Source organism: Homo sapiens, chromosome 1, assembly GCF_000001405.40.
Source record: "Homo sapiens chromosome 1, GRCh38.p14 Primary Assembly".
NCBI classification, from domain to species: domain Eukaryota; kingdom Metazoa; phylum Chordata; class Mammalia; order Primates; family Hominidae; genus Homo; species Homo sapiens.
The window spans coordinates 235,830,098-235,842,681 of NC_000001.11; the positions used below are offsets into that span (position 1 = coordinate 235,830,098).

The 12,584-nt window shown below is 38.1% G+C and overlaps 1 protein-coding gene across 15 annotated transcripts in view, besides 1 other annotated feature; it reads right to left on the reverse strand.

Moving 5' to 3' along the window:
• Positions 1 to 12,584, reverse strand: part of LYST (lysosomal trafficking regulator) — a 222,683-nt gene that overhangs the window by 169,067 nt on the left and 41,032 nt on the right. For all 15 annotated transcript variants that reach the window (NR_102436.3, XM_011544032.2, NM_001301365.1 and 12 more), the window contains exons 2-3: positions 3,481 to 3,570; positions 129 to 327 (exon numbers count right to left, since the gene is read on the reverse strand). Coding sequence is in view for 14 of the 15 variants with exons in the window: in XM_011544032.2 (XP_011542334.1) it covers positions 129 to 320 (192 nt within the window). In the remaining variant the exon portion in view is untranslated. The remainder of the gene's footprint in view (positions 1 to 128; positions 328 to 3,480; positions 3,571 to 12,584) is intronic.
• Positions 12,005 to 12,204: an enhancer, noted in NCBI's record as "active region_2804". NCBI's record gives its function as "activates an Ori minimal core promoter by ATAC-STARR-seq in GM12878 lymphoblastoid cells {active_cell/tissue: GM12878}" and the evidence as "EXISTENCE:reporter gene assay evidence [ECO:0000049][PMID:35858748]".

The following is a 12,584-nucleotide window of genomic DNA, read 5'->3' on the forward strand; positions in this document are numbered from 1 at the left end:
TAGTGGAATAATGTGAAAGACTGGACTTTATCTCAAGGAGGCTTCAGAAACTATGTAATCCAAAACCATGTAGCTACAGTTAACTATCATATATTGATGAAAGTAAGTATTTGATATAAAAATGTTACCTGATCAATTATAGAATTTAGCTTGGTAAGTAATAGAAATCCTCGACCATGGACAAGGTACTGTCCAAGGGTTGCCATGTGCGTCTCCTCCTCTTCTTCCTCCCTGGCCTCCACCCTCTGGACCACTGCATTGCAAAGCCGGTTGACATCGGTCAGAAATTCACGTGCCAGTGAGTTACTGTCGGTGCTCATGACCGAGCTATAAAATAAGTATTACAAAAAAAAAAGATTAGGAAAACAAATACAAATTTACTTTTAAAACTATGTGTTTTTGTTGTTTGTTTCTAACTGAAGATTGGCTTAAAATTACTGGAAATTGGTACTTAACCCTATAATATTTTCAGGCATAGTTCTGACCTAGTCAGGTGCTTCTTAAATAATTCCTTCCATGGCGAAATGAGTCCCAGGCTTGAAATACCTGAGCATAGCTGAGAATAGGTAAGTAACAGCACCTGGATGGAAAACATTTTCTCTTTTTAAGAGAGAAGACTTTCTTTCTTAAATACAATAAAAATAAACCCATTACTTATAAAATGTTCTTGCTTTATATATTTTATAATAAATTGGTATTTTAAAAATATAACCCATTTTTCACTTGATAGAGCCCACAATCACTGACCCATCCTCCCCAAACACCAAAGTTCAGTTAATAAAAAGGATTTCCAATCAGGTGAATAAAAACTGAAAAATTCTAATAGCTAAAGTTACGCCACTTCACTTCTTATGACATATTTAAATCAAATAAAGGGTAATGTGACATTTTAAGATTAAGGGAAATAAGCTACAGCAAACAGAATAGGGGAACATAAATACAGAGGAAAATGTACAAATTTCCAGAAGGGAAAAACCATGAACAACGAAATCCCCAAGGAGTTTCAAAATAGTTTCATCTCTGGGCTAAAAGTAATTTTGAGGTATCCAGTAACCTTTAAAAGATATTTAACATAGAGATGTTAAGTTAAATAAGACATGTATTGCCTCACCTCCCTTCACCCGCTTCAGGGGGAAGCCCTCCCCACAGTCCCTGCTGAGAGGGCAGTGCACATATGACTATGCCTCTTGCCAAGAGGCACAGTCAAGCTCTGGGCCCCAGTTCAGCTACAATCCATGCTCATCACAAGATGTGACTCGTATAGTGTGGGTTGCAAAGAGGAACTGGACTAATCAGGTTTTCTTTCTCTCTCGGGAATTTAAACTAAAGGGATATAGTTGATGTCCTGAAAGGTCACGCAGAGATGGGGCTGTGGTAGTCATTATGAGGTAGCTGAGGGTCAGAAGAAGCCAACCAGGTAAAAATGAACCAACGGGATACAAAGAGAAGTAGATAAAAATGAAAGGGAAGTACCAGAGAAATTCCTAATACTACCTTAGTTCCTGTTCATCCTGGGACCTCACAGTTTAATTCTTTGATTCCCATCAAAATTCTAGGTATTACAGTAACTCTCTTTTAGTATAACAAACATCAATATTTTTAATATTTTTGAATATTAGAAAGGAGAAAAATATAAAGTGCATCTCTCATTCTAAAATACGGCAATAACCTCTATTATATATTAATATTGGTTCTTTATATGCTTTCAGAAAGTAAAAGTATTAAATAAATCCAATAACCTAATTTATATTCAGTTCATATTTATCCAACTTTAATATATTTCATTGAATCTGTTCATAATTTTAGGATACATAATTACTTAGTACACCACTAAAAAAGAATTAAACTATGACACAATGCTTCTTATCACATAAAATTTCCCCACAATATCACCTTCTGGGCCATCAAGACCATTCATGCCACAGCACTTAAGAGTACTGCAGTATCGTTTCTGGGATTTTCCTTCAAAGCTACTAACGTCATTCTATAAATTTATATGCTGGTGCTTTCTTGATCTTACCAGATGGTATCAGCAGAAAGTTTCAGAAAACAACCAGGAAAACATTTAAAAACTCAACAGGTATAGTACCAGCAATGCACAGAAGTCTGCTGAAGCACTGACAATGTGAAAGTCTATGATCAAGTGCACTCATGTGCAGGCCAGGTCAACTACTTCACAAGTGCTTATAAGACACTATCCATTGCAAGATACACTGCAACTTTAGAAACATTAAAAATGTGAAAAACTGAAAAATTATGGGAATAATTAAGTCTATCTTCTAGAAATTAAGAAAATGGAAATCAATATAAATTTTTAGATATAAAAGTTAATGCCATATCAGTAAAAGGCATTATAATCTCAACAGAAATGTATGTTTTTTCCTGATTTAAAAATGTACCTAAAATATATACATGTTTATATGAATAGGTTAGTGTATATACATGATTACTTGCTTTTATTTAATTTAGATATATTGAAAAACATTTCACATGAGCTCTCACTCTTTAATAGCTGTATGGCATACTGCTACATGTAAATATTACATATATAGCATTATATTATAGTTTACTATGTAGCCAATCTCTTATTTTTGAATAGATTGTTTCTAGCTTTTTATTATCATAAACAAAGCTACAATTAACACCCTTATACTACTTGCCCCTTTATCTTATTACTTCCTTGAAGTAGAAATTGCCGTTATTTCATAAGGTAGGTTTTACATATTTCTTGTTAGGTTTACTCCAAGGCGCTTTATATTTTTGCCATTATTATGAATGGGATTTTGTTTTCCGTAACATATTCTAGGATTTAAAACTGGTATATAGTAGGCACATAGGAAGTGGATTTCTTTTGATATAATAATCATATATCTAAACTTCTGAGCTTTTTTATTATTTTGTTTTGAATTTCCCAGATATAATACTCTATAATCTACAAATAACAAAAATTCTGAATTATCTTATCCAATATTCATACAATTTCCATTATTCTATCTAATTGTATCAGTTTGCACTAACAGAACAACATCAGTTGTGGTGATGGGGACACTTTTGCTTTGTATATTAGGAAGTATTCACCTCTTCCTAACAGAAATATTGAATTTAATTGAATGACTTTCAGTCATTTTTAATGTCAACTGAAGAGATGATTGCACGGTATTTTCTTTAAATTTTTTCTAATATTTAAAGTACCCAGAAACAAAGAATATATAACATGAGGTTATAGCCAACAACCAGATATAAATAGTATACTGTATATATCCTTTTGTAACTTTGCTTTTTCCTCTTAATGTTATGTTCATTCCATTAAACCATCATGCAATATACCATTGTATGAATAAACCACAAACTATACATCCATCTCTACTAAGAAAAGTTTAGCTGTTTTAACTTTGGGGTTTAACGAATGTCAGATAATTATGTAGTTTCAAGCCTTCAAAATCATGTTGATGGTTAATATTTATTACATTATATACTTACCAGTCTTTCACCACTGCTGTGACATTTACAGTCTATATCATTTGGACTCATAAACTAGATGAAACAAATATTCTTAGAACAAAGCTTCACCTACAAAAAAAAAGACATATTAATCACAATAGTAAACCACAAATAATTTTAACAAAGTTGTGACATAATCAGTGGCCAGTCTTCATACATGATGTATGAAACCACCAATGAAATTTTTAGATCTTAGGAGCACACTAAAAAAATGCCTACTTCAAGAATTCCTCTTGAGAGGGAATCTTGGAACATAGTGATCTGAAAAAGCAACTCAATAATAGCTCTCTACTTTTCCTCTTCCAGTTCTTAACTTAAAACCTCCAGGTAAATCACAAGTTAACTGCAAAGGAGAATTAGACCAGTCTTCTTAACACTAGAATCTAGGAGGCAGCGGAATATCTAAATACTATCACGACAAAAAGGTTTTCAACTCAGAGTTCCTAGGTACAGCCATTACTTTCCTGTTAGGATGAAAGGTATTTGAGGATACATAAGAACTTAGACAATACCAAAGCCAAACATTAATTTATTAATCACCATCAAATTTCATATCTTTATTGAAGTTTTTAAATGAATTAATCTTTTGAGTAGAATATAATGAAGGTTATTTCTAGAAGACTAAAGGATAAATTTCTATTTCTGGGATAGCAACAGGATATTTCTCTTTAGTTACCTGCTCTCCCCTTCTCTACAGTGCTTACCAGGAAGAAGCATGAAGAATGTTTCCTTATCATAGTTATGCGGCAAACATGAAGATATTTTGAATTATAAGTTTTAAAATCAGATTGATTTTTAAAATTATTTTTATTTAAAAAAAAATGAGATGGGGTCTTGCTGTGTTGCCCAGGCTAGTCTTGGACTCCTGAGCTCAAGTGATCTGCCCACCTCGGCCTCCCAAAGTACTGGGATTACAGGCGTGAGCCACTGTACCTGGCCCAGGAGTGATCTTTAATTACTTCAAAATGCTCAAATCTGGAAAACTGTCTTAAGTTTCTTTCAGCTTGCCAACCAGTTCTTGTACCACACATTATTCTAGGCACTTGAAGATAAACCAGGCAGAAAACAGCTGTGTTAGACAATGCAGGGCTTTGTGTGAATTAGGAAAAAACATCCCTTCCTGATGGGTGCAGCTCCACACAGCAGGGCACACAGCTATCAAAGCACAGGGTATATTTCAGTCTCACCCCCTCATTCCTCTGGCAGAGCACCAGAAAGCAGTATATCAACGGCTCAACCAAGTGGAACAGCCCTGGAATAGAGTCCTAACACACCTTCCATACCTGTTCCTGCTGCCTCCTGAGCTAATCAATATCATGCAAATTTTTTTTTTTTGAGAGGAGTTTCACCCTTTCGCCCAGGCTTGAGTGCAGTGGCGCGATCTCGGGTCACTGCAACAACCTCTGCCGCCTGGGTTCAAGTGATTTTCCTGCCTCAGCCTCCCGAGTAGCCGGGATTACAGGCGCCCACCATTATGCCTGGCTAATTTTTGTATTTTTAATGGGGGGGGGTTTCGCCACATTGGCCAGGCTGGTCTCAAACTCCTGACTTCAGGTGATCCACCCGCCTCGGCCTCCCAAAGTGCTAGGATTACAAATGTGAGCCACCGTGCCCAGCCCATAGAGATATTTTTAACTTTAAAATTATGGAAGGGGAAAAAATAAAATAAAATTATGGAAGGGAAATTATGGATCAAACTGTAAGCCTAAAGATGGTATTATATTAGCTGCTCTGACTACTACCACCCTCCAGCTTGGACTACCACAAGGTAGAGCCATCTATCTTGCAATGCTAAGATGATTCCAGCTAACTCAGCGTGGCCGTAAGAAGTGAAAGCTGGCAGCTGGTCAGCTAGATCCGTCTGTTTCTCTTATCGAGGGACATTTTCTAGGCCAAGCTGAGGGATTTCTCTAATGCTCTTAAACTGGCATGGCTTCTTTATCTCTGTAGTTTACAAAGCCTCACTTGAATATCTATGCAGTTTCATTTTATCCAAGATCATAATTCTAACCACCAGCACAGTCACATGTGTCCTCCTTGAGTCTGCCAGCACTCTTTATACACACCTGTATTCTAATTTTTATCATCCTGTATCATTCTAGGTGTCCAGAACATCTGGAAGTATAGATACATTTTTAATAATGATGCCCTTAGCCCATTATATATTTGCCTCTGTTTCCAAACTACATAGACACACCCTGTAGTTACTTATCTATGACTGTTTCACCCTCTAGGTCACAAGTTACTTAAGGCCAGGGACCCTGTCTTATTACTTTTTACCTTTCATAGCTATAATGCCCAATTTTAAATCTAACTTTATCACTATAATTTCAATTTCTAATACAACAATTGTTATAATGTCATAACAAAGAAAACTTGCCCCAACGATATTCGTAGAATTTTTATATCCTTAGCATTTACCGTAAATGAAAAACATAGTAACAAATGCCTATAATCATATAAATGACCTCCTCAGAAAAATAATGTTTCACTTTTTCCTCATATAGTGACTGGTAAAATGTAAAATATGAACAAGCAAAAACAAAACATACATACACAAACACTGATTTAATGTATTAGCTACCTCTCATTTTATGTCATCAGAAGTTTCATCAATATGCCATTTAATTCAACAAATGTTATTGAACATTTACTGTATGTGAGCTACTAATTTATGCACTGAGTTTAGAGCAGAATCAAAATCCTTACCATCATGTATTATAGTGAGGTGGAGACAGATGAAAAGCAAACATACACTATAATGTCAGGTCATGTTAATTCGATGAAAAAGTAAAACAAAGTAAGGGTATAGAGTGACAGGAATGCTGTTTCAGATAGGATGGACAAGGAAGGTCTGAAGCAGTAATATTTGAGCAAAAACTTGAATGGAATAAGTAAATGGACCATGTGGGTATCTGGGAAACGTGCGTTCCAAGCCACTGAGATAAATGTATGCTGGATGTACGGGATATTGAGTGCAAGAGGACAAGAGGTAAAAAATAATTGCAAAGAAAAAGTGAGAAAAGTCAACCCATTCTTCCTTCTCAGGAACTAAAGTAAGCATGGAAAGAGGAAATAGAAGTGTTCCCCTGAAACCATTTCTCCCCAAGAATGCAAGTCCCTCCCAATGCCCACCCAAAAAAGACTATAAGGTTTTTTAGCCTGTGTGAAGAATAGTACTGTTTACTGATAGGTAAGACTGACATAAGAACAGTTGTGAGGGAAAATAACGTTCAGTTTTAGCTATGTTAGGTGTGATAGGTTTCTTAGAAATTAAGTAATCAAGTAGGCAGCTGAAGATCAAAACAGGCAGGGAAGCTGGAACTAGTGAATCAATTTGGGAATCATCAGGATATCATCAATAAATTTTTAAAGCCATGGAACTAGACAGATGAAATAACCCAGAACAGTGCTGTTCACCGGAGCTTTCTGAGACGATGAGCCTGTTCTATAATTTCTGCCACACAATATAGCAGACAAAAGCCACATGTGGCTAGGGGCTACTATAATGAACAGCGAGGACCTAGAGAATGAGTGTAAGGGAGCAGAGAAGAGGTTTTACAACTGAGCCCTGGGCTTAGCATGGCTGAGTCAATGGAGAGGGTAAGTATCCAACACAGGAGACTGAGAAGGAACAGCAAGTGAGGCAGGAGAAAAATCAGGTGAGTGGTATCTCCCAGAAACCAGGTGAAGAAAGCTTGAAACAGAAAAGAGTAACCAATGCTATCAAAAATTCTGAGAGAAAGCTGGCGGGTGCAGTGGCTCAAGCCTGTAATCAGAGCACTTTGGGAAGGTGAGGTAGGCTAATCACTTGAGGCCAGGAGTTCAAGACCAGCCTGGGCAACATGGCGAAATCCCATCTCTACTAAAAATACAAAAATTAGCCGGCATGGTGGTGCACACCTGTAATCCTAGCTACTTGGGAGGATGAGGTATGAGAACTGCTTGAACCTGAAAGGGGGAGGTTGCAGTGAGCTGAGATTGAGCCACCGCATACCAGCCTGGGTAAGAGTGAGACCCTGTTTCAAAAAAAAAAAAAAAAGAATTCTGAGAAGTTAAGTTAAGTAAGATGAAGACTGGGAATTGACTGCTGGATTTAGCAACATGGAAGTTACTGACAATCTTTTCAAAGAATGGTCTTGGTGGGGTGGAAAAGAGTGGTGAGGAAATGAAGGCAAGCAATTTAAACAGCTCTTTTGAGAAGTTCTGCCACAAAGCATGCAAGGGAACGGGTGATGGCTTGAGGAGGACATGAGATAAGTGAGGTTAAAAAAAAACCTGATTAATATTATAGCTTGTTTCTAAGCTGAAACATAGTATGTTTCTCTAACAGAGAAAGGAAAATAGATGAAAAACTAGAATGAGAAGAGAGAATTCTAGGAACAATGAGTAGGCAAAACGAAGAAGACCAACATACAAGTGGAAGGAACAGTGGCAGTTCATCTAATTGAATAAGAAGAATGTCAGAGAATACGAGTATAGATGTAGGAAGATTAGTATATTTGGCAATAGGAGGACCAAGAATTTTTTTCAGGTGCTTCTATTTTCTTGGTGCAATAAACAGCAAGACTGCCAGCTGAGAGTGAGAAGTGGGAAGGAGGTGTTAAACTGATGAGTGTAACAGGGTCAAAAAACAGCAGCCCATAAGAGACTTCCTGCCAGGCTGCCAATGAGTAACTAAATCAAGATTGAGTTCCATTGTTCAATAACTATACCCATACTATAATCCAACTCTCCTTCATGTTCCCAAGTATAGAATGGTGGACTGTCAAATACTCCATGGGAATCTAGATATATTACAGCTGCAGCATTCTCCTAATCTGTAAATGTAGACTCTATAGGTAGAAACTGGGTTATCTGGAATGAATTCTTAGAAAGCCTACATAGCCTTTATTGCTCATCTTTTCTTTAAGTATAATATTTGAAAATCTTTAAAAATGATCTCTAGAGTCTTTTGTGGAAGTAACATCAAGTTTACAAAAATCTATGGAAGCTACATTTTTTTAAATTTTAGAACATTATTCCTCCACAGGCTTCTACAAGTTTTCACATTTCACTATAATTACTCAAAGATTATTAGTTGAGCAATGACATTAACAAATGTTCTCAGAATCTGACCGTGAGATGTGAATTCATTTTAGAGCATCCAGAGTTCTGATACAATCTCCTCCCCAATCTTGGGCTTCAATTTTCTCCTCTTATTTTTCTCACTTGTACCCTTCTTAGTCTGTGTGTAGATCATTCTCCATGTCAGAGAAGAGAAGAAAGCTAAGAAATTTCATTTGTTCTCTGTATCTGATTATTGGGTCCATTTGTTGGTAAGAATCTATTATTTATTTGTCATACTCATTCTCTCTCTCTCCCCCTACTGCCCTATCCCCCACCCCTGCGCCCTTTCTTTCTTTTTGTAGAGACAGGGTCTCACCATGTTGTCCAGGCTGGTCTCGAACTTCTGGGCTCAAGTGAACCTCCCGCCTTGACTTCCCAAAGTGTTGGGATTACAGGCGTGAGCCACTGCACCTGGCCTCATTTTCGTTCTCTACATATAAAATGTAAAAGGTCAGCCCAACTTTTTCAAAATCTTAGCTCATTATTCTACCAGGACTGTGTTCCTATTCTATAGGTTTTATATGTGTGGGTGTATGTGTGCATATATATATATACAGTTTTTTTTTTGAGACAGAATCTCGCTCTGTCGCCCAGGATGGAGTGCAGTGGCATGATCTCAGCTCACTGCAACCTCCACCTCCCAGGTTCAAGTTGGCCAGGCTGATCTCAAACTCCTGACCTCAGGTAATCCGCCCACCTCCACCCTTCCAAAGTGCTGGGATTACAGGCGTGATCCACTGCACACGACCATTTGGTTTCATATCCTTCTTTCTTTCTTGTGCACATTATTTAAAAATCAGTTCATGCTGGGCATGGTGGCTCATGCATGTAATCTCAGCACTTTGGGAGGCCAAGGTGGGTGGATCACCTGAGATTGGGAGTTCGAGACCAGCCTGGCCAACACGGAGAACCCCCCCCACCACGCCCCATCTCTACTAAAAATACAAAAATTAGCCATGTGCGGTGGCACCGCCTATAGTCCCAGTAACTCAGGAGGCTAAGGCAGGAGAATTGCTTGAACCTGGGAGAGAAGGTTGCAGTGAACTGAGATCGCGCCACTACACACCAGCCTGGGCGACAGAGCGAGACTCTGTCTCAAAAAATAAAATAAAATGAAATAAAATAAAATAAAATAAAATAATAAATAAATAAATAAAATAAATCATCAGTTCATGTGGCCATGTTCCCTCTCCCTTTCCTTCACATATTATTTCCAATTGTTCAGTAGAGATACTGCCTATTATCACCTTGTAACCACTTTCCCTTCAAGAGACTATCTCTGGCATCTTACCTACCTTTTCTTCGAATTTTAGGAACTCTGTACTCCAATTCTCTATATTCCGGCTTTGTTCCATATTCCTCTTCCTGCTTATTAGTCTGCCAGCTATCATTTACAAAACAACCACTTTGTATCAGACACTAAGAACATAAAGTAATTCCAGTCTCTGCCCTCAAGAAGATTACATTACGGTGGCAAAGGCAAATCAATATATAGGGTACTATGTACTGCTAAGGGGCACTTAACCCAATTTGAGTGGCCAGGGAAGCTTCATGAAGAATAAATTGAAGTTGTACAGGTAAAGGGAGAAAAGAAGGGAAGAAAAGCATTAGAGATGGAAACAGCAGCTCAAGTTGTCACTGAAGAAATTACAGTAAGTTTGGTATCACAACTACAAAATGAGAAACAGGAAAAGTGAGGATGGAGGGAGTGGCTGGCAAAGACCAGATGGTGAAAGGCTTTTGTACACTATGCTAAGAACCTTGGGCTTTAATCTATTGGCTAGTGAGTCTTATCAGAATCACCTATAGAGTTTGTCTAGGCCCCATGATCAGAGAACCTAATCTGCTAAACCCACAGCAAGACCTAAACATCGGTATTTTTAACAAGCTTCATAGGTGATTCTAATGAACAGTCAGGGCTGAGACTCACTGCTACAGGTGACAGGAAGCCCATGAATTATTTTGAACATGTGAGTGGCATGGTCAATCTTGAACACATAGGTCATTCTAGTGGCAATGTGGAAGACACATTTTATGGAGAAAACTCTAGCTGCATGAAAACCAATTTGGAGACTGGCGTCATACTCCAAGCAAATGGTAAGGATATTTTTTTCTAAAGCAACAGTAGAATAATATAATTTTATTAAATATCCAAGAATTAAAATGAGCACAATTTTGGTGATTAATTGGATGGAGAAGTGAGTGGTAAGGGAGGGATCAGGACAACTCTCTGAATACTGGCTTGGTTAACTGGATAAATGGTACTGTCACCTGCGAAGAACACACAAGAAGAACTGAGGCACGTGTGCAGAGTCTGCTGTCAGGGCAAAACCACTCCACACCAGGTGAGCTGAGTCCTCTGTCTATTAGGCCAGTGACTAACTTCTTTACAGTGACTACTGAGACTAAATCCACCATGCCTTTCATTCCAATTTCAGCAATGCTCAAAATGTATACCTTCTCAACAACTATCCTTAACTCCATCTCATGGTTTCCAATACCAGACCGAATAAGGAAATAGCAAGTATAGACTCTCCTGAGAAGGCAGGATTAGAAAAGAAAAACAGAAAATAGAGAGGAGCTGGAGAAGGAGGCATAGGTTAAGGAATTTTTTTTTTCAAGTATTTGTATTTTTTAAAGAATTGGAAGAACCGTATTTTTAGGCTATAAGAAATAAGAGGTGGTGCGGCGTGGCCAGCCATCTCCTATCAGCTCTGATTGTGTGTACTTCTTCCCAGCATCACTGGCACCATGTTGGTAGCTTAAAATCATCATGGTGAGAGTATTTCCATCATGGAAATGGGCAAATGCTACACATTAGGGTCTTTTTTGTTTCTTTCTCCAGGAGAGCCACTTTACTAGCATACCACTGCAGCCAGCACAAGGGAAGATACTGAAGACAGGGGCAAGAGAACGAATGAATGAAGGACAAAATTCATGGAGAAAATAAGTGTGGATTGGATCAAGGGTATAGGTGAAGAGGTTAGGCTGGGGCGGGGAAGCAGGAGGGGACACATCATCCTCTGAGGCTGAGGGAAAGGAGGTAAGGAGAATTGCAGATATAGAAAACAGGTGGAAGGCCAGAAACTGAGGGAGCTCAAGAATGACTGGCTCAATTTTTTCATTCAAGTAATAGGCAAAGTTGTCTGCTTAAAGAAGAGAGTCTAGAGATTGGGGGCTAAAGGCTAAGTAATTTAGAATAATTATTGGAAGAATAGTCAAATGGGGGAAAGTAGTGATGACAGACAAAATAATTTACTGGTTGGCTACTAGCTTAGCAGAGGTGGAAAACCATGAATTTCTGGTGGTATGGATTTTTTCAGCTATTTCAGATTCACCAGCAGGATTCAGCTGCTTGGGTCTAATAATAGACAGTGCAGACTGTTATCACTGATCTGGAAATGGGAGTTTTGGTGGGTGGAGGCAGCAGAAGCATAAGTGAAGGGGACCCAAGGGTATGGGTGGAAGAACAGTCCTTATGGCCAAAAATGAGACACAGACTGGGTAGGAAAAAGAAAGAGGCCAGGAAAATAAATGTTGATAGACAAGCAGAAAATCCAGGCAATCAAGGAAGTGTGGATCTCTACCAGACTGAAGAGTACACAATGTGGGAATGAAGATGTTAGAATTTTTAGATTTCTGAAACAAGCGGTCCCAGATGACAACATCCACAGTGTGGCCCTGCAAGCAGATGTCTAAAGTGAAGTGAAAGTTAAGGTCCTTGCAGTTAAGTAACCATGAAGCTAGTATTTTTGGACAACAGATCATTGTAAGTTCTTAAAATGAAAGCCCTATAATGACAGAGATTTTGTCTGTTGTATTCACTGCTAAATCTCTAGCATCTAGAACAGAACACAGCTAACAGCAGGCATTCGATTCTACTCATTTGCCGAATGAATGGCGTGGCCTCTCTCTCAGGATTTTCATTAGGTTAACTTGTCTAATTAAGCCCCTCGTAGTCAAGTTAGGTCAAA